Source organism: Homo sapiens, chromosome 4 (assembly GCF_000001405.40).
Source record: "Homo sapiens chromosome 4, GRCh38.p14 Primary Assembly".
NCBI classification, from domain to species: Eukaryota; Metazoa; Chordata; class Mammalia; order Primates; family Hominidae; genus Homo; species Homo sapiens.
Window position 1 is genome coordinate 185,187,218 of NC_000004.12, and position 24,522 is coordinate 185,211,739.

The 24,522-nt window shown below is 45.6% G+C and overlaps 2 protein-coding genes across 18 annotated transcripts in view, besides 7 other annotated features; one reads left to right on the top strand and one right to left on the bottom strand.

The window, feature by feature from the left end:
- The window catches only part of CFAP97 (cilia and flagella associated protein 97), a 50,584-nt gene extending 27,553 nt beyond the window's left edge, over positions 1–23,031 (bottom strand). For 2 of the 7 annotated variants that reach the window (XM_017008483.3, NM_001292033.2), the window contains exons 1-2: positions 16,568–16,783; positions 2,926–3,995 (exon numbers count right to left, since the gene is read on the bottom strand). In XM_017008483.3, coding sequence (XP_016863972.1) covers positions 2,926–3,979 — 1,054 coding nt within the window. In that variant the 5' untranslated portion in view covers positions 3,980–3,995; positions 16,568–16,783. Of the gene's footprint in view, positions 1–2,925; positions 3,996–16,254; positions 16,784–20,517; positions 22,173–22,900 lie in introns of those variants that run through there. The other 5 variants (XM_047416016.1, XM_047416015.1, NM_020827.3 and 2 more) reach the window with 5 other exon arrangements.
- Positions 16,316–17,085: a silencer, noted in NCBI's record as "silent region_15848". NCBI's record gives its function as "represses an Ori minimal core promoter by ATAC-STARR-seq in GM12878 lymphoblastoid cells {active_cell/tissue: GM12878}" and the evidence as "EXISTENCE:reporter gene assay evidence [ECO:0000049][PMID:35858748]".
- Positions 16,695–16,866: a silencer, noted in NCBI's record as "fragment chr4:186125066-186125237 (GRCh37/hg19 assembly coordinates)". NCBI's record gives its function as "represses an EF-1alpha promoter that drives an FKBP-Casp9 reporter gene in an ReSE screen in K562 erythroleukemia cells {active_cell/tissue: K562}" and the evidence as "EXISTENCE:reporter gene assay evidence [ECO:0000049][PMID:32094911]".
- Positions 17,020–24,522, top strand: part of SNX25 (sorting nexin 25) — a 174,406-nt gene continuing 166,903 nt past the window's right edge. For 10 of the 11 annotated variants that reach the window (NR_186775.1, NM_001423234.1, NM_001378032.2 and 7 more), the window contains exon 1: positions 22,381–23,038. Coding sequence is in view for 9 of the 11 variants with exons in the window: in NM_001423234.1 (NP_001410163.1) it covers positions 22,610–23,038 (429 nt within the window). In the remaining 2 variants the exon portion in view is untranslated. Of the gene's footprint in view, positions 17,251–22,380; positions 23,039–24,522 lie in introns of those variants that run through there. The other variant, NM_001317781.2, reaches the window with a different exon arrangement.
- Positions 17,626–17,735: an enhancer, noted in NCBI's record as "active region_22248". NCBI's record gives its function as "activates an Ori minimal core promoter by ATAC-STARR-seq in GM12878 lymphoblastoid cells {active_cell/tissue: GM12878}" and the evidence as "EXISTENCE:reporter gene assay evidence [ECO:0000049][PMID:35858748]".
- Positions 17,846–17,935: an enhancer, noted in NCBI's record as "active region_22249". NCBI's record gives its function as "activates an Ori minimal core promoter by ATAC-STARR-seq in GM12878 lymphoblastoid cells {active_cell/tissue: GM12878}" and the evidence as "EXISTENCE:reporter gene assay evidence [ECO:0000049][PMID:35858748]".
- Positions 22,080–22,659: a silencer, noted in NCBI's record as "silent region_15849". NCBI's record gives its function as "represses an Ori minimal core promoter by ATAC-STARR-seq in GM12878 lymphoblastoid cells {active_cell/tissue: GM12878}" and the evidence as "EXISTENCE:reporter gene assay evidence [ECO:0000049][PMID:35858748]".
- Positions 22,770–22,929: a silencer, noted in NCBI's record as "silent region_15850". NCBI's record gives its function as "represses an Ori minimal core promoter by ATAC-STARR-seq in GM12878 lymphoblastoid cells {active_cell/tissue: GM12878}" and the evidence as "EXISTENCE:reporter gene assay evidence [ECO:0000049][PMID:35858748]".
- Positions 23,000–23,189: a silencer, noted in NCBI's record as "silent region_15851". NCBI's record gives its function as "represses an Ori minimal core promoter by ATAC-STARR-seq in GM12878 lymphoblastoid cells {active_cell/tissue: GM12878}" and the evidence as "EXISTENCE:reporter gene assay evidence [ECO:0000049][PMID:35858748]".

Here is a 24,522-nt window from a genome sequence, read left to right on the forward strand (position 1 = left end):
GCAACTGTTATAAAATGAAATTTCCATGAACATATGAAATATGTTTCCTAACCAGCACAGCTGTGCAACAGAAGCAGTTTCCTGACAGTCCCTTCAGTCTACAAATACTGTCTATTATGTGCCTGTATTTGGAAATTCCAACAAGAAATAAGATCCTGCCTTCATTCACTGCAATGGGACACACAAGCAAACTAACTAATTTCAGAGTCTAGTAAGTATCCCGATGGAGAGAAACAAGCTTTTGCGACACAGAGAGGCATGGGGAGTGTAAAGCTCCCAAAGATAGATGTCTAGAAAAAGGCTCTCCCTGGCAGAGACTTGAGAAACAGGGAGAAGCAGAGCCCTCTGCAAAGAAAAAGGGCCACAGCAATGCAAGTGCCTCACCAACGGGAAAAAACCCGGAGTGTCCTTACAACAGGAGCGGCAACAACAACAAAGTGTGACTGGAACTCAGTAATTCAACATCAGGTCGAAAAGGCCAGCAATATCCATACAACGTACAGCAATGGTTGTCACCAATCTCAACAGCATACTAGACCAAATGCATCAGAATCCCTGTGTGCAGAGCCTAGGCATCAGTATTTGTTTTAAGAGTTCTCTAGGTGATATTAATGCACTGCCTGGGATGAGAATTACTGATCTGGAGTCTGTTAGGCAATAACAAGGAATTCAGATATTATTACTATTATCATTTTTTTGAGACGGAGTCTCGCTCTGTCGCCAGGCTGGAGTGCAGTGGCGTGATCTCGGCTAACTGCAACCTCCACCTCCTGGGTTCAAGCAATTCTCCTGCCTCAGCCTCCTGAGTAGCTGGGACTATAGGCGCCTGCCACCACGCCCAGCTAATTTTTGTATTTTTAGTAGAGATGGGGTTTCACCACATTGGCCAGGATGGTTTTGATCTCTTGAGCTCGTGATCCGCCTGCCTCAGCCTCCCAAAGTGCTGGGACTACAGGCGTGAGCACCGTGCTCGGCCGCTATTATTATTATTTTAATAATAACATCCAGGGTTTCACTATGTTGCCTAGGTGGGACTCAAGGGACCCTCTAGCCTCAGCCTTCAAAGTAGCTGGGATTATAGGTATGTGCCACCACACCTGGCTTCATATATATATATACACATATATACATTTTTTTTTTTTGAGATGGGAGTCTCGCTCTGTCATCCAGGCTGGAGTGCAGTGGCACAATCTCAGCTCACTGCAAACTCCGCCTCCCAGGCTCAAGCAATTCTCATGCCTCAGCCTCCCGAGTACCTGAGAATACAGGCGTGTGCCACTACGCTCGGCTCATTTTTTGTATTATTTGCGGAGACGGGGTTTTGCCATGTTGGCCAGGCTGCTCTCAAACTCCTGACCTCAAGCGATCTGCCCACCTTGGCCTCCAAAGGTGCTAGGATTACAGGTGTGAGCCACTGCTCCTGGCCAGGTATTATTTTAATATAAGAGTAAGTCACTGAAGAGTGGAAACTAATAGGATTGATTTACTTTTTTTTTACTTTGCAAAAGATCACTTTAGTTCTTATGGGAGGAATTGAGGGCATGAATAGAAAACTCTTTAATGCTGAAAGTTCTGAGAGTCTGAATGAGCATTTATTAGGAAAGATTTATGGGGTGAAGACTTAGCCAATAAGAGTGTGATTTTTCAGAGACTCTAAACAATCAATAGGTACAATCAGAGAAAGGGAGAAAAATCAATAGGTACAATCAGAGAAAGGGGGAAAAAATACCTACAAAAGGGCCAGATGCAGTGGCGTGCACCCATAATCCCAGCCCTTCGGGACGCTGAGGTAGGAGGTTTGCTTGAGGCCAGGAGTTCGACGCAGCCCGCGCAGCATAGTGAAACCTCATCTCTACAAAAATAAAAAATATTAGCCAGGTGTGGTGGGGCATGACTGTGGTCCTAGGTACTCAGGAGGCTGAGGCAGGAGGATTACTTAAGCCCAGGAGGTCAAGGCTGCAGTGAGCTGTGGTCACGCCACTTCACTCCAGCCTGGATGACAGAGAAAGACCTTATCTCAAAAACAAAAAACAAAACCTACAAAAGTGGCAACATCAAGTGTGAACTGCTCCTAAATACACTGTCAATTTGACCATTTTCTACTAACAAGGTGTTTATGCCCTTACATTGCTACCATATGCAATTTATCTAGTTAAAGACTAACATTTCAAACAGGAAGACAGAGAATTCTATTTACAATTTAAAAACTTTATCATCAACGGACCTAAAACCCACCCAGTATTATTAGTTCTATTAACTAATCCAAAGATAAACTTTGAAGTTGCTTTTATTTGAACTGGAAAATTGTTACTTTCAAACTAAATATAAATAATAATAAACTGATAAGAAACAAAGCAAAAAGACTACTCTAATTCAAAAATACCTTATTATCTTAAAGCAACTTAATGTTTTTCATCAATTTGGTAATTATTTTTAAGTAATGCTCTTTAGCCTTTAACTTAAAAGTCTGAAGAGTCCTCTTTAGTTTACTCTGAGTTCTCTCATTTGCCAGCATTCTTGCCACTGTCCCTGATATGAGGACGCCACATCAGGTGTTAACCTGAGCACTGCTGCCTTTCTTAAAGAAGAAAGTGAAATATGTCCGTGTCTCTATCAAAAGTGGAAAAACATCTGGCTACCCTTCTCTCATTTATCTTATCCATCTGTTTCCTCTAGACATTCTGAGTTTTTAAGGCACTAAAATAAAATTTGTATTATACAAACACAAATTACTATACAAAATAATACAAACGATATTCTAGATATTTTTATGGTAAAATAGAGTATTTGGTAAAGTTACTAATAATATCAATCATTCCCAACAATAAAAAATATCTACTAGATCAATGCAAATTCATAGCATTTAATATTTATGCCCAATATATAATATTTAAACACACATTTTTAAGAAGAAAAGAAAATTACCTTTCAAGAGATGATTCAGATCCATTGTGTCATGTAAGACTTTCTGTTTATGTCTGTGGTCTAAACTGGAGTCTAACACTGAAGACGACTTTGAGGAGACATCAGGCTCATGTTTTTCTTTCCCTTTTTTGGCTGCTTTCAAATATTTTGAATTATTTTTCAAATCCTCAACATCTTCATATATTTCTTGGCTCACATTTTCTTGCTTTTTAATTTTCACTTTTTGATCATTTGCTATGCCCAGTTCAAAAGACTGAAGAGGGCTAATGTCTGGAGTTGATAAGGGACTTACGTCAGTCACAGTATCTTCAGACTCCTCAGGGTAGTGGCCACATTTTGGTGTAGTACTTGAAGGCTGTGTTTCTGTCGATTTTATTCCTGATTTATACTTGTGTTTTGGTGACAGGAGGGTTATACCAGATACATGTTTCTTAGATGACTTAGATGACGGAGACGAATCAGATAGATGGCTATCAGACCCTGCATCTAAACAATCTGTACCTGAACCTGAAGATGAGGAAGATAAAGAGGAGGAGGAAGAGGAGCTAACTTTGCAATACTTTTTCCTTATGCTTTTTTTAACGTTAGTAGATGGTTTAGCGGACTTGGACTTCACATGGTATTTCTTCCCATCATCACTGCTTTCCTCTCCATCTGTGTAGTAATCATCTTCACCTTCTTTTACAATTTTGGGAATTCTATTTGGAATGGACACGTGTATTTTAAGTCCTGTTGTAACATCACACAATTTTTTTGATCTTGAAGAGGCTGGCAATGAGAAAGAACTTACAGTTTGTGTAACATCATTCTCTACGGGGTGTTCTGGGGGAAATTTCACGTTTCTTTCATTTCCCTTCTCAGTAAGATAATTTTCTGTTGTTTGCATTCCAGTGTTCGAATTTACATTTTTTGTATCTTTATCTATTCTTTCCTTTGGGTCATCATTTTGCTTGTCAAAAACTGAGTTAGTTTCACATTTCTTTCCTTCTTCAAAGTCACTGTCAAAGAAAGAATGGTCCACTTCACCTTCTAATATATCTCCAAACTGATCCATGATGGCAAAAATATATCTGAAAAAAAAATGTAAACATCAGACTAAAGAGTGATTTCCAAATACTTTCCATTTGTATACAATAATTAAATAATTTTCCCAAACTGACAAGTGTGTTTAATATATAAAAAGAAACATTATAAAAACAACAACAAAAAAGGTAACTCAGTGAAGTGATGATGGGGTTCTATGAGTAACAAGTTCTACCAATTATCTGAAAAATAAAAAAGTCCCATAGTTAAGTTCACAAGAAAATAACAGATCATCAAGGTAGGGATGTCACAAACATGGATACCTAAGTGAACCTTAAGGATAATCTGCCTTCTATAAATTAAGTACAACAAAACAAAGAAAAAGGCCGGGCGCGGTGGCTCATGCCTGTAATCCCAGCACTTTGGGAGGCCGAGGCGAGTGGACCACGAGGTCAAGAGATCGAGACCATCCTGGCCAACATGGTGAAACCCCGTCTCTACTAAAAATACAAAAATTAGCTGGGCGTGATGGCACGTGCCTGTAGTCCCAGCTACTTGGGAAGCTGAAGCAGGAGAATTGCTTGAACCCAGGAGGTGGAGGTTACAGTGAGCCGAGATCACACCACCGCACTCCAGCCTGGCGACAGAGCAAGACTCCATCTCAACAACAACAAACAAAAACAAAAACAAAAACCCCAAAGATATACAAATTAAGTACAATTAGAGTTTAGAGTAAGAAAGGATAGAGTTAAAAAAAAACTCATAGTCACTTCCCTTGAGAATAATAGTCAAAAAATAAAAGAAAGGAAAACAAGAAACATCTCATAGGACCAGCTAAACCATCCAAACACACAATTCTAGTGGAAGTCATGCAGTGAGGATTGACTGACATTTCAGGACTTGCTGTCTTTGTCCCCTTTCTGCCCCTTTACTGCAGTTAGGAAGGAAGAAGCAGAGACAAGGAGATGATTCCTGTTAAGGTTCCCCATCCCTTCTTTAAGAGGAACAAAACTTCTAAGTCACACATACAGGCTGCACAGGTATGTCGAACTTCTGAATATGTAATCACAAACTGTGCCAAAACCACATATAGAAAATGAAAGGGGAAGAGTATATATGTCTCACTGTGTTAAAGGGGGTCTGATATATGAGAAATTCACAGCATACAGCCAATGGCTCTAAAATGGAAAAACCAAGGTATATTATTCAGACACATGGAGTTAAGTATTACAAAAAATGGATTAAAATGTTCAAAGTAGTTGCCTTTATCAGGGGGCAGGGGCCACTGATTTTTGTTTTTTTCCCTAGAGACCACGTTTTTGTTATAGACCTTAAATTACTAGTTGACCTGTAAATTTATGTATTACTATGATAAAAAATTGATTTAAAATATTTTAATACTCCATACAGTTAAATTAGAAACATCACTATAAAGTCATAGTCTTTAAAAAATGGTTTTTTTTATCTGTTTATTACAGTGGTCAAAGCAGCTGTGTTACATTATCTATTACTGATAAGCTTAAGATCAGACTTGACCTTTGACCTTCTTAAGATCAGAATTGACCTTCTTTTTTTTTTTTTTTTTTTTTTTTTGAGACGGAGTCTCGCTCTGTCACCCAGGCTGGAGTGCAGTGGTGCAATCTCGGCTCAGTGCAAGCTCCGCCTCCCGGGTTCACGCCATTCTCCTGCCTCAGCCTCCCGAGTAGCTGGGACTACAGGCGCCCGCCACCACGCCCGGCTAATTTTTTGTAGTTTTAGTAGAGACGGGGTTTCACCGTGTTATCCAGGATGGCCTGGATCTCCTGACCTTGTGATCCGCCCACCTCGGCCTCCCAAAGTGCTCAAATTACAGGCGTGAGCCACCGCGCCCCACCCAGAATTGACCTTCTAATACTATTCTCCACTAAAAAACCCCAGGACTCCTTCGCAGGCAGGGGACTGCATTTCTGGAGGCAAAGAGCCTGGATCAGCTTATTGTTGCCAGAAAGCACAATATTCACAAATATGCCTGGGGTGGCAGGAATGAAACAGAGGATCAGTTTAAAGGGGCTTCCACTGTCCAAGTTGGACAATTCAGCATTGAAAAAGAAAAAAGACAAACATACATAAAAATGAAAAAATAATTTCTATGAGAAGCCATGAGTACACATTGATAGTCAAAAGTGACAATAAAATAATTTCCAATAATAAAACAGCAAAAGGCCAGGCACGGTGGCTCATGCTGTAATCCCAGCACTTCGGGAGGCAAAGGCGGGTGGATCACAAGGTCAGGAGTTCGAGACTACTCTGGCCAATATAGTGAAACCCCATCTCTACTAGAAATACAAAAAATTAGCCAGGTGTGGTAGTGTGCGCCTGTAATCCCAGCTACTCAGGAGGCTGAGGCAGGAGAATGGCGTGAACCCAGGAGGTGGAGGCTGCAGTGCGCCGCGATCACGCCATTGTACCACTCCAGCCCAGACGACAATATGAGACTGTGTCTTAAAAACAAAACAAAAATAGCAAAAAATGCAATTATGTGCTCACTATATTCATATTATAATTAATTCTATTTTACATCAAATCAGGGAGTAAAAGATTATGTAATCTGTATCCTAAACCAGCCACAACACTCTGCAGCCTTTAGGCAGGAGAATTGCTGAAACCCAGGAGACAGAGGCTGCAGTGAGCTGAGATCGCACCACTGCACTCCAGCCTGGGCGACAGAGAGAGACTCCATCTGATAAATAAATAAATAAATAAATAAGGGAATTCTAACATTACTTGGAACATGGAAAAGCTTCTGTAGATAAATATTACGATTCTGTTAACATCATCACTTAGATCACGAGTCAGCAAACTACCTGTCCGTAAACGAAATCTTGTCTGCCATCTGTTTTTGTAAATAAAGTTTTATTGGAACACAGCCCCACTGATGGGTATATGTATTGTCTCCCCCAGCTTTCACACTACGACTGCAGAGCTAAGTAGCTGTGATTGAGACCCTATGGCCCACAGAGACTAAAATACTTAGCATCTGATCCCTTACTGAAAAGTTTGTAGGCCAGGCGCAGTGGCTCACGCCTGTAATCCCAACACTTTGGGAAGCCGAGGCGGGTGGATCACCTGAGGTCAGGAGTTCGAGACCAGCCCGGTCCACATGGCGAAACTCCTTCTCTACTAAAAATACAAAAATTAGCCGGGTGTGGCAGTGCGTGCCTGTAATCCCAGCCACTAGGGAGGCTGAGGCAGGAGGATCACTTGAATGCAGGAGGCAGAAGTTGCAGTGAGCTGAGATTGCACCATTGCACTCCAGCCTGGGCGACAAGAGTGAGACTCCATCTCAAAAAAAAGAAAAGTTTGTAGATCCTTGGTTGATAGATTTATTTAAATTTTTTAAAGAAACAGGTCCTCACTCCATCGCCCAGGCTGGAGTACAGTGACAGGATTCTAGCTCACTGCAGCCTCCAACTCCTGGGCTCAAGTGATCCTCCCACCTCAGCCTCCAGAGCAGCTGGGACTACAGGTGCATACCACTGTGCCCAGCTTGTAGACCCTTGATTTAGATGATGTATGAACATGAAAAATACAGAATACAAAACTTTTCTATACTGAATTAATAATACAATTTACAGTTAAAGCAAAACTAGGGGAGAGGAGGCCATAAGTTAAGAATTGACCTTTAAAAGAAAAATGACATACAACCCCATTATAGTTCCATTACTGTTACCATAATAGTGTTTGTGTAATAAATTAGGCACATAAGTGATGAGTGGGAGTCTGCTCAGTGGTTGAAACGAATCAATGGAGTCAGACACACCCAGACTCAAAATATGATTCTGCTACTTCCCAGTTGTGCGATCCTGGGCATGTACACAGGATGTTCACGACAGCACAGCATCTACTACTGTTTGCAGTAGCAATGCATGAGGAACAACTTTACTGTCTATTAAGAGGAAAATGAATAAATAAAATGTCGTGTAAGCACATATCTGCCAAAAAGGATACACTGAGATCTACAAAAATAACACTGAATAAAAAAGCAGAATTTAAAAAGCAACGAGGCTGGCACCATGGCTCATGACTGTAATCTCAGCAGTTAGGGAGGCCAAGGTGGGAGGACTGCTTGAGCCCAGGAGTTCCAGACCACATAATGAGACCCCGTTGCTACAAGAAATTAAAAAATAAAAATTAGCTGGGCATAGTGGTGTGCCTGGAGTCCCAGCTACTGAGGAGGCTGAGGTAGAAGGATCACCTGTGCACAGGAGGTTGATAATGCAATGAGTCATCATCACACCACTGCACTCCAGCCTGGGCTACAGGGCAAGACCTTGTCTCAAAATAAACAAATAAATAAGCAAGCAATGATACAATTACATAAAACTTAAAACATATACAAAACAATGCTATATTCTTCATGAGCACAAACATACAAGCCAAGTTATAGAACATGGATTGGAAGGATACACATTAAACATGAGTATAACTCATGAGGGGAGGGGAGAGGAGTAGTGTGCTCAGGGGAAGGAGAAATATAAAAACTCGGATAGAGGCCTGCGATCTTGAGTCATCACAAACGTAAAGACTATGGCTGATCATAATCTAATTTTGCCCACTTGAATGTAAAAGGAAAAACAAACTAAAATAGCCACTGAATGGTGAATAGGTCTTATAACACTGTCATTAAACTCCCAAAAATGTCACCTTTTTTTGTGAGATAATTCACCTTTGAAAACAAAATGTCAAGGAGTGGAATAAAAAGAACTGTGGATACCCCACAGTGTAATGGTGAGCACTCTGGACTCTAAAAAGAACTGTGGTTGTTGTTTTTTCCTTTCTTACTTTGTTGTGTGGTTAAGAATATCTTTGCAATTAAAAATTTTAAATTGTTTCTTCAAATTTCAAAAGTAAACGGTTTAATAGCATAGCCCAGAGCAATATTTTATAAACTACAGGTCACAATCCAGTTTAAAATCAATTCAGTAGCTCATGTCCATCATTAAACTGACGAAGTAGAACACAGTGTAATAATCAAGAGTGCATTATAGGCCAGGTGCAGTGGCTCACGCCTGTAATCCCAGCACTTTGGGAGGCCGAGGTGGGCAGATCACTTGAGGTAGGAGTTCAAGACCAGCCTGGCCAACATGATGAAACCCTGTCTCTACCAAAAATATAAAAAATTAGCTGGGTGTGGTGGCACGTGCCTATAATCCCAGCTACTCGGGAGGCTGAGGCAGGAGAATCACTTGAACCTGGCAGGCGGAGGTTGCAGTGAGCTGAGATCATGCTTCCAGCCTGGGGGACAGAAGGATAGTCCGTCTCAAAAAAAAAAAAAAAAGAGTGCATTACATATTATAAGAGTAAGTTTCATGAAACCATCATTTCTATTACTTAAATGCATTGAGTGTACTAGGCCTTGATGTAAAACCAGCTTCACATTCCTGAGAGTCTCAGGCAAGGGTTGGAAATGCCACTGATCTATGGAGATAAAAAGCTTTCATCAAAAGGTAATGTACTATGATACATAAAGATGGAATGAAAGGTTAAACTTTGGGTGGTATTAGACAGTGTCAAGTGTCATAGGTAATATGACAGAGTCTAGGAAAACTCTGCTAATAGATTAAGGCCTCACTACAATAAATCAGGAACCAGAGTTGAAGAAATGTAGTTTAAGGCCAAGCGCAGTGGGTTGCGCCTGTAATCCCAGCATTTTGGGAAGCTGAGGTGAATGGATTATTTGAGGTCAGGAGTTCAAAACCAGCCTGGCCAACGTGGTGAAACCTTATCTTTACAAAAATACAAAGATTAGCTGGGTGTGGTGGCAGGCGCCTGTAATCCCAGCTACTCAAGAAGCTGAGGCAGGAGAATTGCTTGAATCCAGGAGGCAGAGGTTGCAGTGAGCTGATATTTTGCCACTGCACTCCATCCTGGGCAATAGAGCGAGACTCCCTCTTAATTAAAAAAAAAAAAAAAAAAAAAGACATGTAGCTTAAATTACAAATATAAAAAATAAACATTTTCTTGAAATTTGAAGAAACTGAAATCACAAAATTATTTAGCTATAAGAGATGGATGATTACACTGAAGAAATGAAGAGATCTTAAACATAACAAAAGAGTAATTTTACTAACTCACAATCAAGTAATAAGTTTCTATTAATTCTTGGCCCAGAATTAATATTACACATATGTATATAAACTTATTAACAGCCACGTGACTATTACACTGAATGTCTCTGCTGGATTTTACTGGCGAATATATTAAAAGAAAAGTTGTTTTTGAATTTTTTTTTTTTTTTTGAGACAGAGTCTCTCTGAGTCTCCCAGGCTGGAGCGCAGTGGCGCGTGATCTCGGCTCACCGCAACCTCAGACTCCCTGCTTCAAGGGATTCTCCTGCCTCAGCCTCCCGAGTAGCTGGAATTACAGGCACGTGCCACCACACCCGGCTAATTTTTGTATTTTTAGTAGAGATGGGGTTTCACCGTGTTAGCCAGGATGGTCTTGATCTCCTGACCTCGGGATCCGCCCGCCTTGGCCTCCCAAAGTGCTGGGATTACAGGTGTGAGCCACCGCGAAAAGTTTAAATTTTCCTAGTCCACTTAACATCCAAATTATTCCAACTCCCATCCCTTAGAAAATTTTAAATCAAAAGCTAGAAATGATTAAGCTTAGTGAGGAAGGTATGCTGAAAGTCCAGGAGACAGGCCAAAAGCTAGGCCTCTTGCACCAGTTAGCCAAGTTGTGAAAGCAAAGGAAAAATTCTTGAAGGAAATTAAGACTGCTACTTCAGCGAACATGGGAATAAGAAAGCGAAAGAGCCTTACTGCTGATATGGAGAAAGTCTGAATGGTCTGGATACACCAAGCCAGCCACCACATTCCCCTAAGCCAAAGCCTAGTCCAAAGCAAGGCCCTCACTCACTTTCAATTCTATGAAGGCCGAGAGAGGTAAAGACGATGTAGAAATCTCAAGCTACCTGAGGCTGTCTCATAAGGTTTAAGAAAAGAAGCCTGCTCAGCCGGGTGTGGTGGCTCACGCCTATAATCCCAACACTTCCGGAGGCTGAAGTGGGCAGATCACTTGAAGTCAGGAGTTCAAGACCAGCCTGGCCAACACGGTGAAACCCTATCTCTACTAAAAATACAAAAACCAGCCAGGTGTGGTGGCAGGAGCCTGAAGTCCCAGCTACTTGGGAGGCTGAGGCACAAGAATCCTTTGAACTGGGAAGGCAGAAGCTGCAGTGAGCCAAGATTGCATCACTACACTCCAGCCTGGGTGACAGAGTGAGACTCTGTCTTAAAAAAAAAAAAAAGAAAGAAAGGAAGAAAAAGAAGCCTACTCTATCACATAAAAGTACAAGGTAAGCCAGGCATGGTGGCTCACGCCTGTAATCCCAGAACTTTGGGAGGCCGAGATGGGCAGATCACCTCAGGTCAGGAGTTCAAGACCAGCCTGACCAAAATGGTGAAACCCCATCTCTACTAAAAATACAAAATTAGCCGGGTGTGGTGGCGCATGCCTGTAATCCCAGCTACAGAGGAGGCTGAGGCAGGAGAATCACTTGAAGCCAGGAGATGGAGGTTGCAGTAAGCCGAGATCGCGTCATTGCACTCCAGCCTGGGCAACAAGAGCGAAACTCCATCTCAAAAAAAAGACAAAACAGTACAAGGTAAAACAGCAAGTGCTGATGGAGAAGCTGCAGAAGATCTAGCTAAGAGAATTGCTGAATGTGACTACAATAAACATCAGATTTCCAGTGCAGACGAAACAGCCTTCCATTGGAAAAGGATGCTAACCATCTAGGATTTTCATAGCTAGAGGGAGAAGTCAATACCTGGTCTCAACACTTCAAAGAACAGGCTGACTCTTATTAAGAGCTAATGGAGCTGGTGACTTTAAAATGAAGCCCGTGCTCATTTACCATTTCAAAAATATTAGGGCCCTTAGGCTGGGTACAGTGGCTCCCACCTGTAATTCCAGCACTTTGGGAGGCTGAGACGGGCGGATCACTTGAGGCCAGGAGATGGAGACCAGCCTGAGCAACAGGGCGAAACCCCATCTCTACAAAAAGAGAAAAATTAGCCAGGAGTAGTGGCATGTACCTGTTAATTCCAGCTACTGGGGAAGCTGAGGCTGGAGAATAGGTTGAACCCAGGAGGCAGGTTGCAGTGAGCCGCGATCCGGCCACTGCACTACAGCCTGGGTGACAGAGCAAGACTCCGTCTCAAAAAAGAAAAGAAAAATCTGGGTGCGGTGCCTCCCACCTATAATCCAAGCACTTTCGGAGGCCAAGGCAGGTGGATCACCTGAGGTCAGGAGTTCCAGACCAGCCTGGCCAACATGGTGAAACCCTGTCTCCACTAAAAATAACAAAAGTTAGCCAGGGGCTAATTTTTATATTAATAGTCTCAGCTACTCGGGAGGCTGAGGCATGAGAATCACTTGAACCCAGGAGGTGGAGGTTGCAGTGAGCCAAGATTGTGCCAGTGCATTTCAGCCTGGGTGAGGCAGCAAGACTCTGTCCAAAAAAAACAAAAAAGAAAAAATCTTAAGGGCCTTAAGAATTATGCTAAATCTACTCTGCCTGTGGTCTATATATAAAACAAAAAGCCCAAATGACAGCACACCTATTTACAGCCATAATTCACTTTATGTTTTAAGCCCACTGTTGAGATCGACTGCTCAGACAAAAAATTCAAAATATTACTGCTCATTGACAATGTACCTGGTCACCCAATAGCTCTAATGAAGATGTGCAAGATTAATGTTTTCACGCCTGCTAACAACATCCACTCTGCAGCCCATGGTTCAAGGAGTAAGTCAAATTTCAAGTCTTACTTTTCAAGAAATACATTTTGTAAGGCCATATTTGTCACAGATAATAATTCCTCTGACGGATCTGAGCAAAATAAATTGAAAACCTTCCCCATTAAGAACACTTATGATTCATAGGAGGAGGTCAAAATATCAACATCAACAAGAGTTTGGAAGAAGCTGATTCTAACCCTTATGGATAACTTTAAGGGATTTAAGACTTAACTGGGGAAGGAACTGCAGCTGTGGTAGAAATGGCACGGGAACTAGAATTAGAAGTGGAGCCTGGTATTTTAGAAGGCCAAGGCAGGAGGACCAGTTGAGCCCAGAAGTTTTAGACCAGCCTGGACAACATAGTGAGATCCCGTCTCTTAAAAGAAAAAACTAAACTACAAAATTAGCTGGGCACGGTGGCTCACGCCTATAATCCCAGCACTTTGGGAGGCTGTGGCAGGCAAATGACTTGAGGACAGTAGTTCGAGACCAGCCTGGCCAACAGGGTGAATCTCCGTCTCTACTAAAAATACAAAAATTAGCTAGGTGTGGTAGCACATGTCTGTAATCCCAGCTACTCGGGAGGCTGAGGCATGGGAATCACTTGAACCTGGGAGGTAGAGGTTGCAGCAGTGAACCGAGCTTGCGTCACGGCACTCCAGCGGGTGACAGAGTGAGATTCTGTCTCAAAAAAAAAAAAGCTGGGTTGCAGTGGCACGTGCCTGTAGAGGCTGTGAGGCAGGAGGATCACTTGGGCTGGGGAGGTTGAGGCTGCAATGACCTGGGATCATGCCAAAGCACTGCAGCCTGGGTGACAGAACAAGACCCTGTCAAAAAAAAGAAAAAATAAGTGGTGCCTCAAGATGTAACTGAATTGCTGCAATCTCACAATAAAACTTGAACAGATGAGGACTTGCTTCTTATGGATGAGCAAAGAAAGTAGTTTCTTGAGATGGAATTTACTCCTGAAGAAGCTGTAAATGTAGTTGAAATGACAACAAATGATTTAGAATATTCTGTATACTTAGCTAATAAAGCAGCGGCAGGGTTTGAGAAGACTGACTATGTTTTAAAGAAGTTCTACTGTGAGGCTCGGTGCTGTGGCTCACGCCTGTAATCCCAACACTTTGGGAGGCCGAGGTGGGTGGATCACTTCAGGTCAGAAGTTGAAGACCAGTCTGACCAACATGGTGAAACCTCATCTCTACTACAAATAAAAAAAAATTAGCTGGGCGTGGTGGCCCATGTCTGTAATCCCAGCTACTTGGGAGGCTGAGGCAGGAGAATCTCTTGAACCCAGGAAGCGGAGGTTGCAGTGAGCCCAGATCACACCACTGCACTCCAGCCCAGGCGACAGAGCAAGACTCCGCCTCAAAAAAAAAAAAAAAAAAGTTCTACTCTGGATAAAATGCTGTCAAGCAGCATCACAAGCTACAGAAATCTTTTGTGAAAAGAAGTCAATCAATAAAGCAAAGTTAATCATTGTCTTATTTTAAGAAATTGCCACAGCCATCCCAACCTTCAGCACTCAGCACCCTGATCAGTCAGCCGCCATCAACAGTGAGGCAAGACCCTCCACCAGCAAAAAAAAATTACAACTCCCTGAAGGCTCAGATGATTGACAGCATTTTTTAGCCATAAATTATTTTTTAGATAACGTATGTACATTTCTTAAGCATAATACCATTGTACCCTTAACAGACCACGGTATAGTGTAAACATAACTTTTATATGCACTGGGAAACCAAAAAATTCATGTGACTCGCTTTATTCCAAGATTTAATTTATTGTGGTGGTCTGCAAGCAACCAAAATATCTCCAAGGTATGCCTGTATTTACCGTCCCATAGTTTCAATCCCTAGAGGTCTAACCCTCCACCTGGTTTTATGATCTCTTCATGTCGTATCTCCACAGTTTATCATCTTTTAAACACCGTATAGAAACTTTCTGGCCTATCCACTTCTTTTCTAGGAAAGCCCTGTGTCATTGTAAAAATTAACATAAAATACGTATGCCTTTTCTCCTGTTAATCTGCCTTACAGCCCCAGCTGCAGACCCAGCTAAAGGAAAAAGGATTTTTGTTTTTCCCCCCATCCCCTACACTTGTCTCCTTGCCAGACTGGGAGCTCCTCGTCACTTCCTCATCTTTATAACCCCAGTACCCAAAGGAGAACCTGATGAATTTAGTCATTCAAAGAATGTTTATCCCACAAAGGAGTTTGGAGTTAGGAGATTTAAGATTGAGCCATGCTCTTTGCTACCCACGAGGGTAGAAAAATCGCCTTGTATGTGTGTGGCTGGGCATGGAGGCTCATGTGCGGTGGCTCATGTTACAGTCTCATGCCTGTAACTTTGGGAGGCCCAGGCAGGCAGACCACTTGAGCCCAGGAGCTTGAGACCAGCCTGGCCAACATGGCCAAACCCCACCTCTACAAAAAATACAAAAATTAGCCGGGCGTTGTAGCTCTCGCCTGTAGTCCCAGCTACTCCGGAGGCTGAGGTGGGAGAATCGCTGGAACCTGGGAGCTGAGGCTGCAGTGAGCCGAGATCAGGCCACTGCACTCCAGCCTAGGCAACAGAGTGAGATCCTATCTCAAAAAACAAACAAACAAAAAAAATCACCGGGTTTCAACCCAGTTTCCTTGATAGTTTCCTGCCATCTTCCCCCACCCCTCCGGAAGCACAAACCACAACTATGCCTTTATCTGCATTTCCATGATAAGGTCATGCAGTCCCCAAGAGCTGGAAGCCAGCTGCCTCCCTAAGTGGTCACAGTTCATGCGCCCTGGTGCATAGTCCGGTGCCTGTGAGACTTTTCAGGTTTAAATTTTAGTTAATAATATCCAACAGAGTTACTGTAAAGATTTCGACACTCATGTGACTTAATTTACAGGAAAATTTACCCAACAATCCCATCCACTGAGCAATTCTTTTGATAACATTTACTACGAGGTAAGTGATTCAATTTACCAGAGAATAAGAAAAATGACTTAATAAAGTAGTTAAGATTCTCTTTACAACAGACTAGGAAAGGATAAAATTAAAGGATAGTTCATCAGACCATAACAACCCTTTGGTGCTCAATCAAGACAGAGTTTTGCCAGGAGGGGCATGGCTCACGCCTGTAATCCCCGGACTTTGGGAGGCCAAGACAGGAGGATCGCTTGAGCCCAGGAGTTGGGAGGCTGCAGTGAGACATGATCGTGCCACTGCACTCCACCCTGGGCCACAGAGCGAGACCCTGTCTCAAAAAATAAAAATAAAAAAAAGAGACAGGTAAGTTTTTATCAAAGCTGCCTGAGAGTCACTGGGCACGCCCCACTTGCCAGGTCCTACAGACCAGCAATAACAAGACTAATGCTTTCACCAAACATCAGGAAAATACACAGAAAAGCACCGGGCACTTTTTAAACTGTCATCTTGTTACTGTGACAATACATTTCTGTAGTTAAACAGCACAGTAGGCCTCCAACAAGATGCCCAATTGGGTACATGAAAATCCCGGCCCAAATTAAACACCTGTTTCCAGGAACGCTAGGCTCTTGTCTACATCCCCTACCGTCCCCGGAAGGCAGATAACCCCTCGGGCCTCGTGGGTTAGGTTCGAGTCCCTACAAGTAGGAAGAAGTCGTCAGGGCCCGGCATGTGGTCGCGGCCCAATCTCAATTTAGGGCTGATCCTGACCCTCAAAGCCACCCGGAACGCGCGAGAGGGCGGGACCCGCCATTCTCACAGGGGACCGGGGTGGAACGGCGCCGCGACCCGCCGCCGCGGGCGCCCCTGTCGTGGGGGCGCGGTCTCCCACCGTCCGCGCAGGCTTCGTTAAACCCACCCCGAGTACTCGCCGCCGCCTGGGCTCCGGAGCGGGGAGACGGATGCGAACGGAAAGGAGCGTGGCGGGCGCCCCGCGAGCAGGGAGCCAGGAGCCGCTCGCGCGCCCCTCACCTGAGAGCCGCGGCCACCACAGCCCCACGCGCGGCGCTGGCGCACTCCCGCGGCCCTGAACGGGCTCCCGGCGCCGCGCGCCCGCGCTTCCGGAGGCGGAGAGAGCGGAAAGGGAAAGGAGGGGCGGCGTGGGGCCCGGCGCTTCGGGAGAGGCGGGGGCGCACGCCGGGCCTCGTGCGGCCCTCGCGGCGGGCGTCACAGAGCGCGGCGGGCAGGCGGCCAGGCCGGGGCTCCACGCGGGCGGAGTGGAGGCCGGGCCAGGGACGCGCACACTAGAAGAGCCGCGGAAGAAGGCGGTCCAGCCCGCGTGGTTGCCATGGCGCCCTAGAGGCGTTACTGCTGCTCCCGGCTGCCTAGGGCGGCGCGGGTAGGCCCCGTTGTTCTCGTGCGTTAATAGGGAAAGCTGCCTTGATTATCTTGTAATTCTCTACCAAACCAAGAATAAAAAAGAACGGCGGCTGTGTGTTTGTGATATTTTCTATCAGCAAATTTCAGTTCATACCACTAGTTAGTTCTGTGGACCAGAGGCTGGTTTCAGAATGGAAAGACCTTTGCCGAGTGGTAAACGAGGTGGGTAGTTAAAACAATCTAAGGTAAAAATGATCTCTGCAGAATATATTGAATACAATAACTTCTCGTTGAACTCTCAGGTATGGTAGGATGATGGCACCCCAAAAATGTGCACCTCCTAGTCCCCACAACACGTGAATATGTCACCTTATGTGGCAGACAGGATTTAGCTGATGTGATTAAGGATCAAAATGGGAAGATTAACCAGGATTATCCAGTGAACCCCATGGAATCACAAAGGTCCTTATAAGATGGAGACAAGAAGTTCAAAGTCAGTAGTGGGAGCTGTGAGCACAGAAGCTAGAGGTTGGAGTGATGTCAGAGGCAATGAGCCAAGGAGTGCAGGTAGAAGCTGCAAAAGGAGGAAACGGATTCTCTCCTGAAACCTCAGGAAGGAACTAGAGCCTGCAAATTTTGATTTTAGACTTAATACCTTAAGCACTGTAAGACAATACACCTGTGTTGTTTTAACTACTGAATTTGTAGTAATTTGTTATAGCAGCAATGGTATACAATCCAGTAGTTAATAAATATTGTTCACATCTAAGTGCAAAGAAGGGTAGGAAATATGGGTCTTACCCTGCCTGTCCCGGGGAGTTCCAGTAAGGATTGTCTATTTTCGTCCTTCACAATGCATTTTGTACTTGTTGGTCTTAATTACCAAAAGTATAATCAATTCTCTTTTTGTTGCCTAAAAGACAGCATTGGCTGGGCGCAGTGGCTCACCCCTGTAATCCCAGCACTTCGGGAGGCCGAGGCGGGTGGGGCCCCCTGAGAGGAGTTCAAGACCAGCCTGACTAATATGGTGAAACACTGTCTCTACTAAAAATACAAAAATTAGCTGGGCGTGGTGACGTGAGCCTGTAGTCCCAGCTACTCGGAAGGCTGAGACAGGAGAATCGCTTGAACTCCGGAGGTGGAGGTTGCAGCGAGCCGAGATCGTGCCACTGCACTCCAACCTAGGCAACAGAGTAAGACTGTGTCTCAAAAAAAAAAAAAGCAAGAATTTCACTTTCTTTTAAAGTGCTTAATAAAACTGTGTTGGCACCACTTTCCAGGGATAGTTGTTAAACTGTGGTTGGCCCGGCGCGGTGGCTCACGTTTGTAATTCCGCACTTTGAGAGGCTGAGGTGGGCGGATCACCTGAGGTCAGGAGTTCCAGACCAGCCTGGCCAACATGGTGAAACTCCGTCTCTACTAAAAATACAAAAATTAGCCAGGTGTGGTGGTGCACATCTGTAATCCCAGCTACTCAGGAGGCTGACGCAGAAGAATCGCTTGAACCCAGGAGGGAAATGTTGCAGTAAGCTGAGATCACGCCATTGTACTCCAGCCTGGGCGACAGAGCAAGCCCCTGTCTCTAAATAAATAAACAAACTGTGGTCAAAAGTTTATCTTACAAAGGACTTGAGTAGATATTTCTCCAAAGAAAATATACCAATGGCCAATAAACACATGAAAAGATACTCAACACCACTAATTAGGGAAATGCAAGTCAAAAACACAATGAGATACCGATGGCTTTAGTCAAAAAAATAGAAAATAAGGATTGGCAAGAATGTGGAAAGATCGAAACCCTTATGCATTGCTTGTGAGAATGTAGCATACTCAGCCACTGTGGAAAATAGTATGGCATGTTCTGAAAAACTTGAACATAGAATTATATGACCCAGCAATTTCCCTTCTGGACATACACTAAAAGGAAGTGAAAGCAGGGTCTCAAACAGATACTTATGCACCCATGTTCATAGCAGAATAGCCAAAAGGCGGAAAAAACTCAAGTGTTTGTTTATCAACAGACAGATGAAGCAGAATGTAGTAGATACATAAAATGGAATATTATTCAGCCCATGACTTGTGCGCCTCTGGTCCACATAACAACATTAAGATGGTCTGCAGGACAGACAGAATGGAAGATGTATGCCGGGCATGGTGGCTCACTCCTGTAATCCCAGCACTTTGGGAGGCCAAGGTGGACAGATCCTGAGGTCGGGGGGTTGAGACCAGCCCGATGAACCCCATCTCACTAAAAATACAAAAAATTAGCCAGGCATGCTGATGCATGCCTGTAATCCCAGCTACTCGGGAGGCTGAGGTAGGAGAATCTCTTGAACCGGGGAGGCGGAGGTTGCAGTGAGCCGAGATTGCGCCATTGCACTCCAGCCTGGGTAACAAGAGCGAAACTCTTGTCTCAAAAAAAAAAAAAAAAAAAAAAGAATGGAAGATGTACTAATCTTGGTTCAGAAAGACAGAACCAAAAGGATATAGATAGATATATGAGCAGGAATTTATTAGAGGAATTGGCTTACATGATTATGGAGGCTGAGAACTCTGATGATACACCCTTCGCCGGCTGGAGAGCCTGGAAAGCTGGTGGTGTGGCTCAGTCCAACTCTGAAGGCCTCAGAACCAGGGAATAGGATGGCATAACTCTGAGGCAGTAGGCCTGAGAACCCAGGAGGCTGCTAGTGTAACCTGGAGTCTCAACGCCAGAGCCTGGAGTTCTGATGTCCAAGGATGGGAGAAGAGTGTATCCCAGCTTCAGGGCACAGAGGAAACCACCTTTTTGTTCTTTCTGGGCCACAGCTGATTGGACGGTTGCCCACATCAAGGGTGGATCTTCCCTACTCAATCCACTGACCCAGGGGCAATCTTCTTGGGAAACACCCAGAAATAATCCTTTGTCAGTTTTCCAGGTAATCCCAATCCAGTCAAATTGACACCTAAATTTAACCAGTCACACTTTTTTTTTTTTTTTTTTTTTTTTTTGAGACGGAGTCTCGCTGTCGCCCAGGCTGGAGTGCAGTGGTGCGATCTCGGCTCACTGCAAGCTCTGCCTCCCAGGTTCACACCGTTCTCCTGCCTCAGCCTCCCGAGTAGCTGGGACTACAGGCGCACACCACCACACCTGGTTAATTTTTTGTATTTTTAGTAGAGACGGGGTTTTGCCATGTTGACCAGGCTGGTCTCAAACTCCTGAGCTCAGGTAATCCAGCCACCTCGGCTTCCCAAAGTGCTGGGATTACAAGCTTGAGCCACCACGCCTGGCCAACTATCCACTTTTAAGCATGGAATGCAGATCAGGATCAAGAATTTAACCTTTTTTTTTCTCTTCTGTAATATGAGATGAGTAAATCAGAGAATTCTTAGGAAGCATCATGGCATAGCGATTCAATGCACAAGCTCTGAAGCTGGACCACATGGAGTAACAACTAAATCCTAGTTCTGTTATTGATTAGCTTTGCAATGTTGAGCATGTCATCTTACCTCCTGTGCTTCAGTTCCCCGCTGTGTAGATGGAGATAATGGTATCCATCGGGGTTGCTGGGAAGATTAAATGAAGTATGTTTGGTCCTTAGAATAGTATCTGGCACACAGTAAGTGCTGTTAGTTACTATTATGGTGAGCTAGGGCTAAAATTGAAAAATTAATTTAAATTTATCATAAAGAATTCAGAATACAGTCCTCGGCATGTAAATGATCAAAAAACATAGATTTGGTTGTTGTTGATAACAAGCCACTGTGCTTTATTTGAATAATTTGGGTTGGTAGGGTACACTTTGAGGGGCTCCAATTGGGTGAAAATTAACAACTATTTTAGAGGCAAAAGGGCTTCTTCAAAATTAATCATACTGCTTTATTTATTTTATTTTATTTTTGAGACGAAGTCTCACTCTGTTGCCCAAGCTGGAGTGCAATGGCGCGATGTCGGCTCACTGCGACCTCCACCTCCGGGGTTCAAGTTTCACTATGTTGGCCAGGCTAGTCTTGAACTCCTAACTTCATGATCTGCCCGCCTCAGCCTCCGAAAGTGTAGGGATTACAGGCGTGAGCCACCGTGCCCGCCCCTATTTTCTTAAAAAAGGAGGAGAAAGGAAACTGGTAACTTATTTTGATCATCCCCTTGGCATGGCAAAGTCACATCTAGCATGAGGCACTCTTCATTTCTGACTTAGAAGGTTTAAGAAAGAATGAAATGAGGCCGGGCGCGGTGGCTTACACCTATAATCCCAGCACTTTGGGAGGCTGAGGCAGGCGGATCACGAGGTCAGGAGATTGAGACCATCCTGGCTAATATGGTGAAACCCCGTCTCTACTAAAAATACAAAAATTTGCTAGGTGTGGTGGTGCGTGCCTGTAATCCCAGCTACTCGGGAGGCTGAGCCAGGAGAATGGCTTGAACCCAGGAAGCAGAGATTGCAGTGAGCCGAGATCGCCCCACTGCACTCCAGCCTGGGCAACAGAGACTCCGTCTCAAAAAAAAAGAAAAAAAGAAAGAAAGAAAGAATGAAATGCCCATGAATACCAATTGATACTAAAAGCAAAAGCTACATCTGCTTCTTTATTAGTCTTAGCAGTAATTGCCAGTGTTTAAGTAGCATATTGGCATCTACTTAGCAAGCGTTATCTGTATATTACTGGCTGGGACTATGACAGAAGAAAAGGCAAATATATACTCTAAAAATTATTTGGACCACGTTCCTTTGCGTGGCTGATAGCATTTGAACTGAATAGTTGGTAAAAAACAAAAAACAAAACAAAACAAAACAAAAACCAGAAGTGGAGCCAAAGTGATTATGGGCAGCTGCGTGCACCCTGTTGCACCAGGCCGACTTCTTTGGACCTTTCCATAGCTAGGAATTGCAGGCTTCACTTACTCCACCGCACGTGTCTGATTCCTTCCCTAAGGCGGCAGGGTGGGAAAGGGAAGGTCGTTAGAAACTGTGACAGGGAGTCTCGGGAACGGTTGCCTATTTAAATAGCGAGTGAAAACCAGGCAGAAATGTTTGCCGGCTGTAAGCAAAGCGAAGAGGTTACTCGTCAGTGATGAGCGGAGAGGGAGAATTACGGGATCACCTGAGCTCAGGAATTACCAGCGCCGCTGACACCTGCAGCAAAATTTTCCATGAACAGACGGCATCCTGTAGAGGAGGAGGGGAGCGTGGGAAAGAGAGGTGTGCACCGCGCTGGGTCGCGCCCTCTCCCCGTGGGGCCCCGGCCCGGACCCCGCCCCCGCGCTGTGGGTGGGCGCCTCCCGGCTGTCACTCAGCGGCCGCGGTGGCTCCGGGCCCCGCCCGACACGCACTTCAGGGCGGCCCCGCCCCGCCCGCGTCAGGCTGGCCAGGCTTCAGTCACAACACGGTGGGGCTCCCTGGCTGCGCCCGGCCCGGCAGCTACGGGCCCAGCGCCTGGTGGCGGCGCTGAGGGGTCGCCGAGAGGGGCCCGGCGGCGTCTGCGGGGGCCGCTCCCTCGGTGGGCCGCGGGCGAGGCATGAGCGCGGGCTCCCCCTGCCTCCGGAGCGCCGGCGGGGGACCGGGGGGCAGGAGATGTGCCTGTCCTTAGCGGCCCAGGAAGCAGCATGCACCCCGATGCGACCGACAGTGGCGGCGCCGGCCCCAGCCCCGCGCGGGCCGCAGGCGCCGGCGGCCGTCCTGTCTCGGGCTTCAGGGGCGAGCGGCGGCCGGAGTCCCCGGGGGACGCGGAGGCAGCAGCAGCGGCGGCGCCGGGGGCCCCGGGCGGCCGGAGCTGGTGGAAGCCCGTGGCGGTGGCCGCACTCGCCGCCGTGGCCCTCTCCTTCCTGGGGCCCGGCAGCGGGGAGGCGGCGGGGGCCGCGGGGCTGAGCTCCGTCCTGTTCAGGCTCAGCCTGTACCTGAGCTGCGCGGCGGCCGCCTTCCTGCTGGGGATCCTGTTTGCCCTCGTCTGCCGGAGCCCGCGCGCCCAGCCGCCCGACTTCGCCGCCGCCTGGAGCCGGCTGGCCGCGACCTCAGCCGCCCGCCGCCCGCCGGGGGTAAGTACCCGACTCCTGGCCGCCCAGCTCCGCCGGCCCTCCCCGCTTCCGGTGCCAGCTCCCGCGCCCCGAGCTCCGGGGGGCCGCGGCATGCCCTTGTCGAAGCGGGAAGCCGGGAGCCAGGGGGCTGGGCTGCGGGCCCGGCCGTGGACGCGAGCGTTCCCCGGCGCCCGCGCGCGGCGGGCTCCGGGCTCCGGGCTCCGCGCTCCGCGGTGCTGGAGGAGATGCGCGTTATTTACTGGGCTCTGTAGTCACTCGACAACCATCCTCAGTCACAACCCTAAGGGTGTCCCCAGACCTTCGGTGTCGCTTGCCGTGGGAGGGGAAGAAGGGAATCACAGCGTTCGCTACGTGCAGGCTCTGCGCACGGTCCTGGCGATCCGCTTGGTTCTTCTGGCCGTTCTCGGTGGGAGGCAACTTTATGACCGTTTGCCGATGAGGAAACTTGCTTCGGTCCCTGGCCCAGCGCCTCACCCCCAAGCCCGCGTACCCTTCCCACCACCCTATCCTGCCTTCCACCATGCGGATACGTATTATAGTTGTGCAGTCCCCGCTGGCTTCTGTGATTTGGAAGGGGGATGCCAGAAATCACTGGTTTGCAACAAAAGGAAAGCCATCCTCAGCGCGCTGTGGGACACTAGGGCGGGGGTTAGGGAATGTAGGAAAGAACAGTGTTTTAAATGAGCGCTTCTCTTCTTCAGTGCCAAACCCACTGCCCCATCTTTCTTCCACATTCCTTCTCATAATCCTTTAAAGGGAACTTTATTCTATCCCAGCTTAACACTCACTGCTTGACTGAGTGATACCATCATTCTAATGAAATTGCCCAAGCGCTTTGGGGTAAGATAAATGGCAGTGGCTCAACTTCATAAGAATATTTGTTAATGATCATTTGTCCCCAGGGTTTGTATTTGCTTATCACATGACCTGCTCACTCCTTTATTTTAAAAGAAAGCACCACACTTCACCAAACTACTCTGAGTGTGTTAGTTCAGAATGCAGCGCTGAGATAATGGCGGAAGGCATTAGTAGGTAACAGACATTTCGCTCAGTAGGCTGATAAACAAGGCAGTATATTAAGGAGCAGGCAACTCCTGTTTTTAGAAGTGGTCTCAAAAATTAGTAAAGTTGGTTTCTCTTACAAAATCTCCACTTAGCCATCCGTTTTTCATATCTCATTTAGCAGGAGTTGCGGAGCAGATATGTCTCTCCTCTTTTTTTCTACCATGGCAAGTAAGGACCCTGAGATTTTACTAGTTTGTTTGTTGATCAATAAAATATGTCTTAGTTCTTGAGTACTGTAAGATGTTATAATTCATTCGGTAAATATTTATTGAGCATCTTGTGTGAGCCAGGTACTGTTTTGGAAGCTGAGTTTGAATCAACAGGACACATAAATATCCTGCTCTCTGGAGATCTTATGGGGGAGCAGGCAATAAATAAATACTGTGGGATAGTGATAAATGCTTTTGAAACAGTGATTA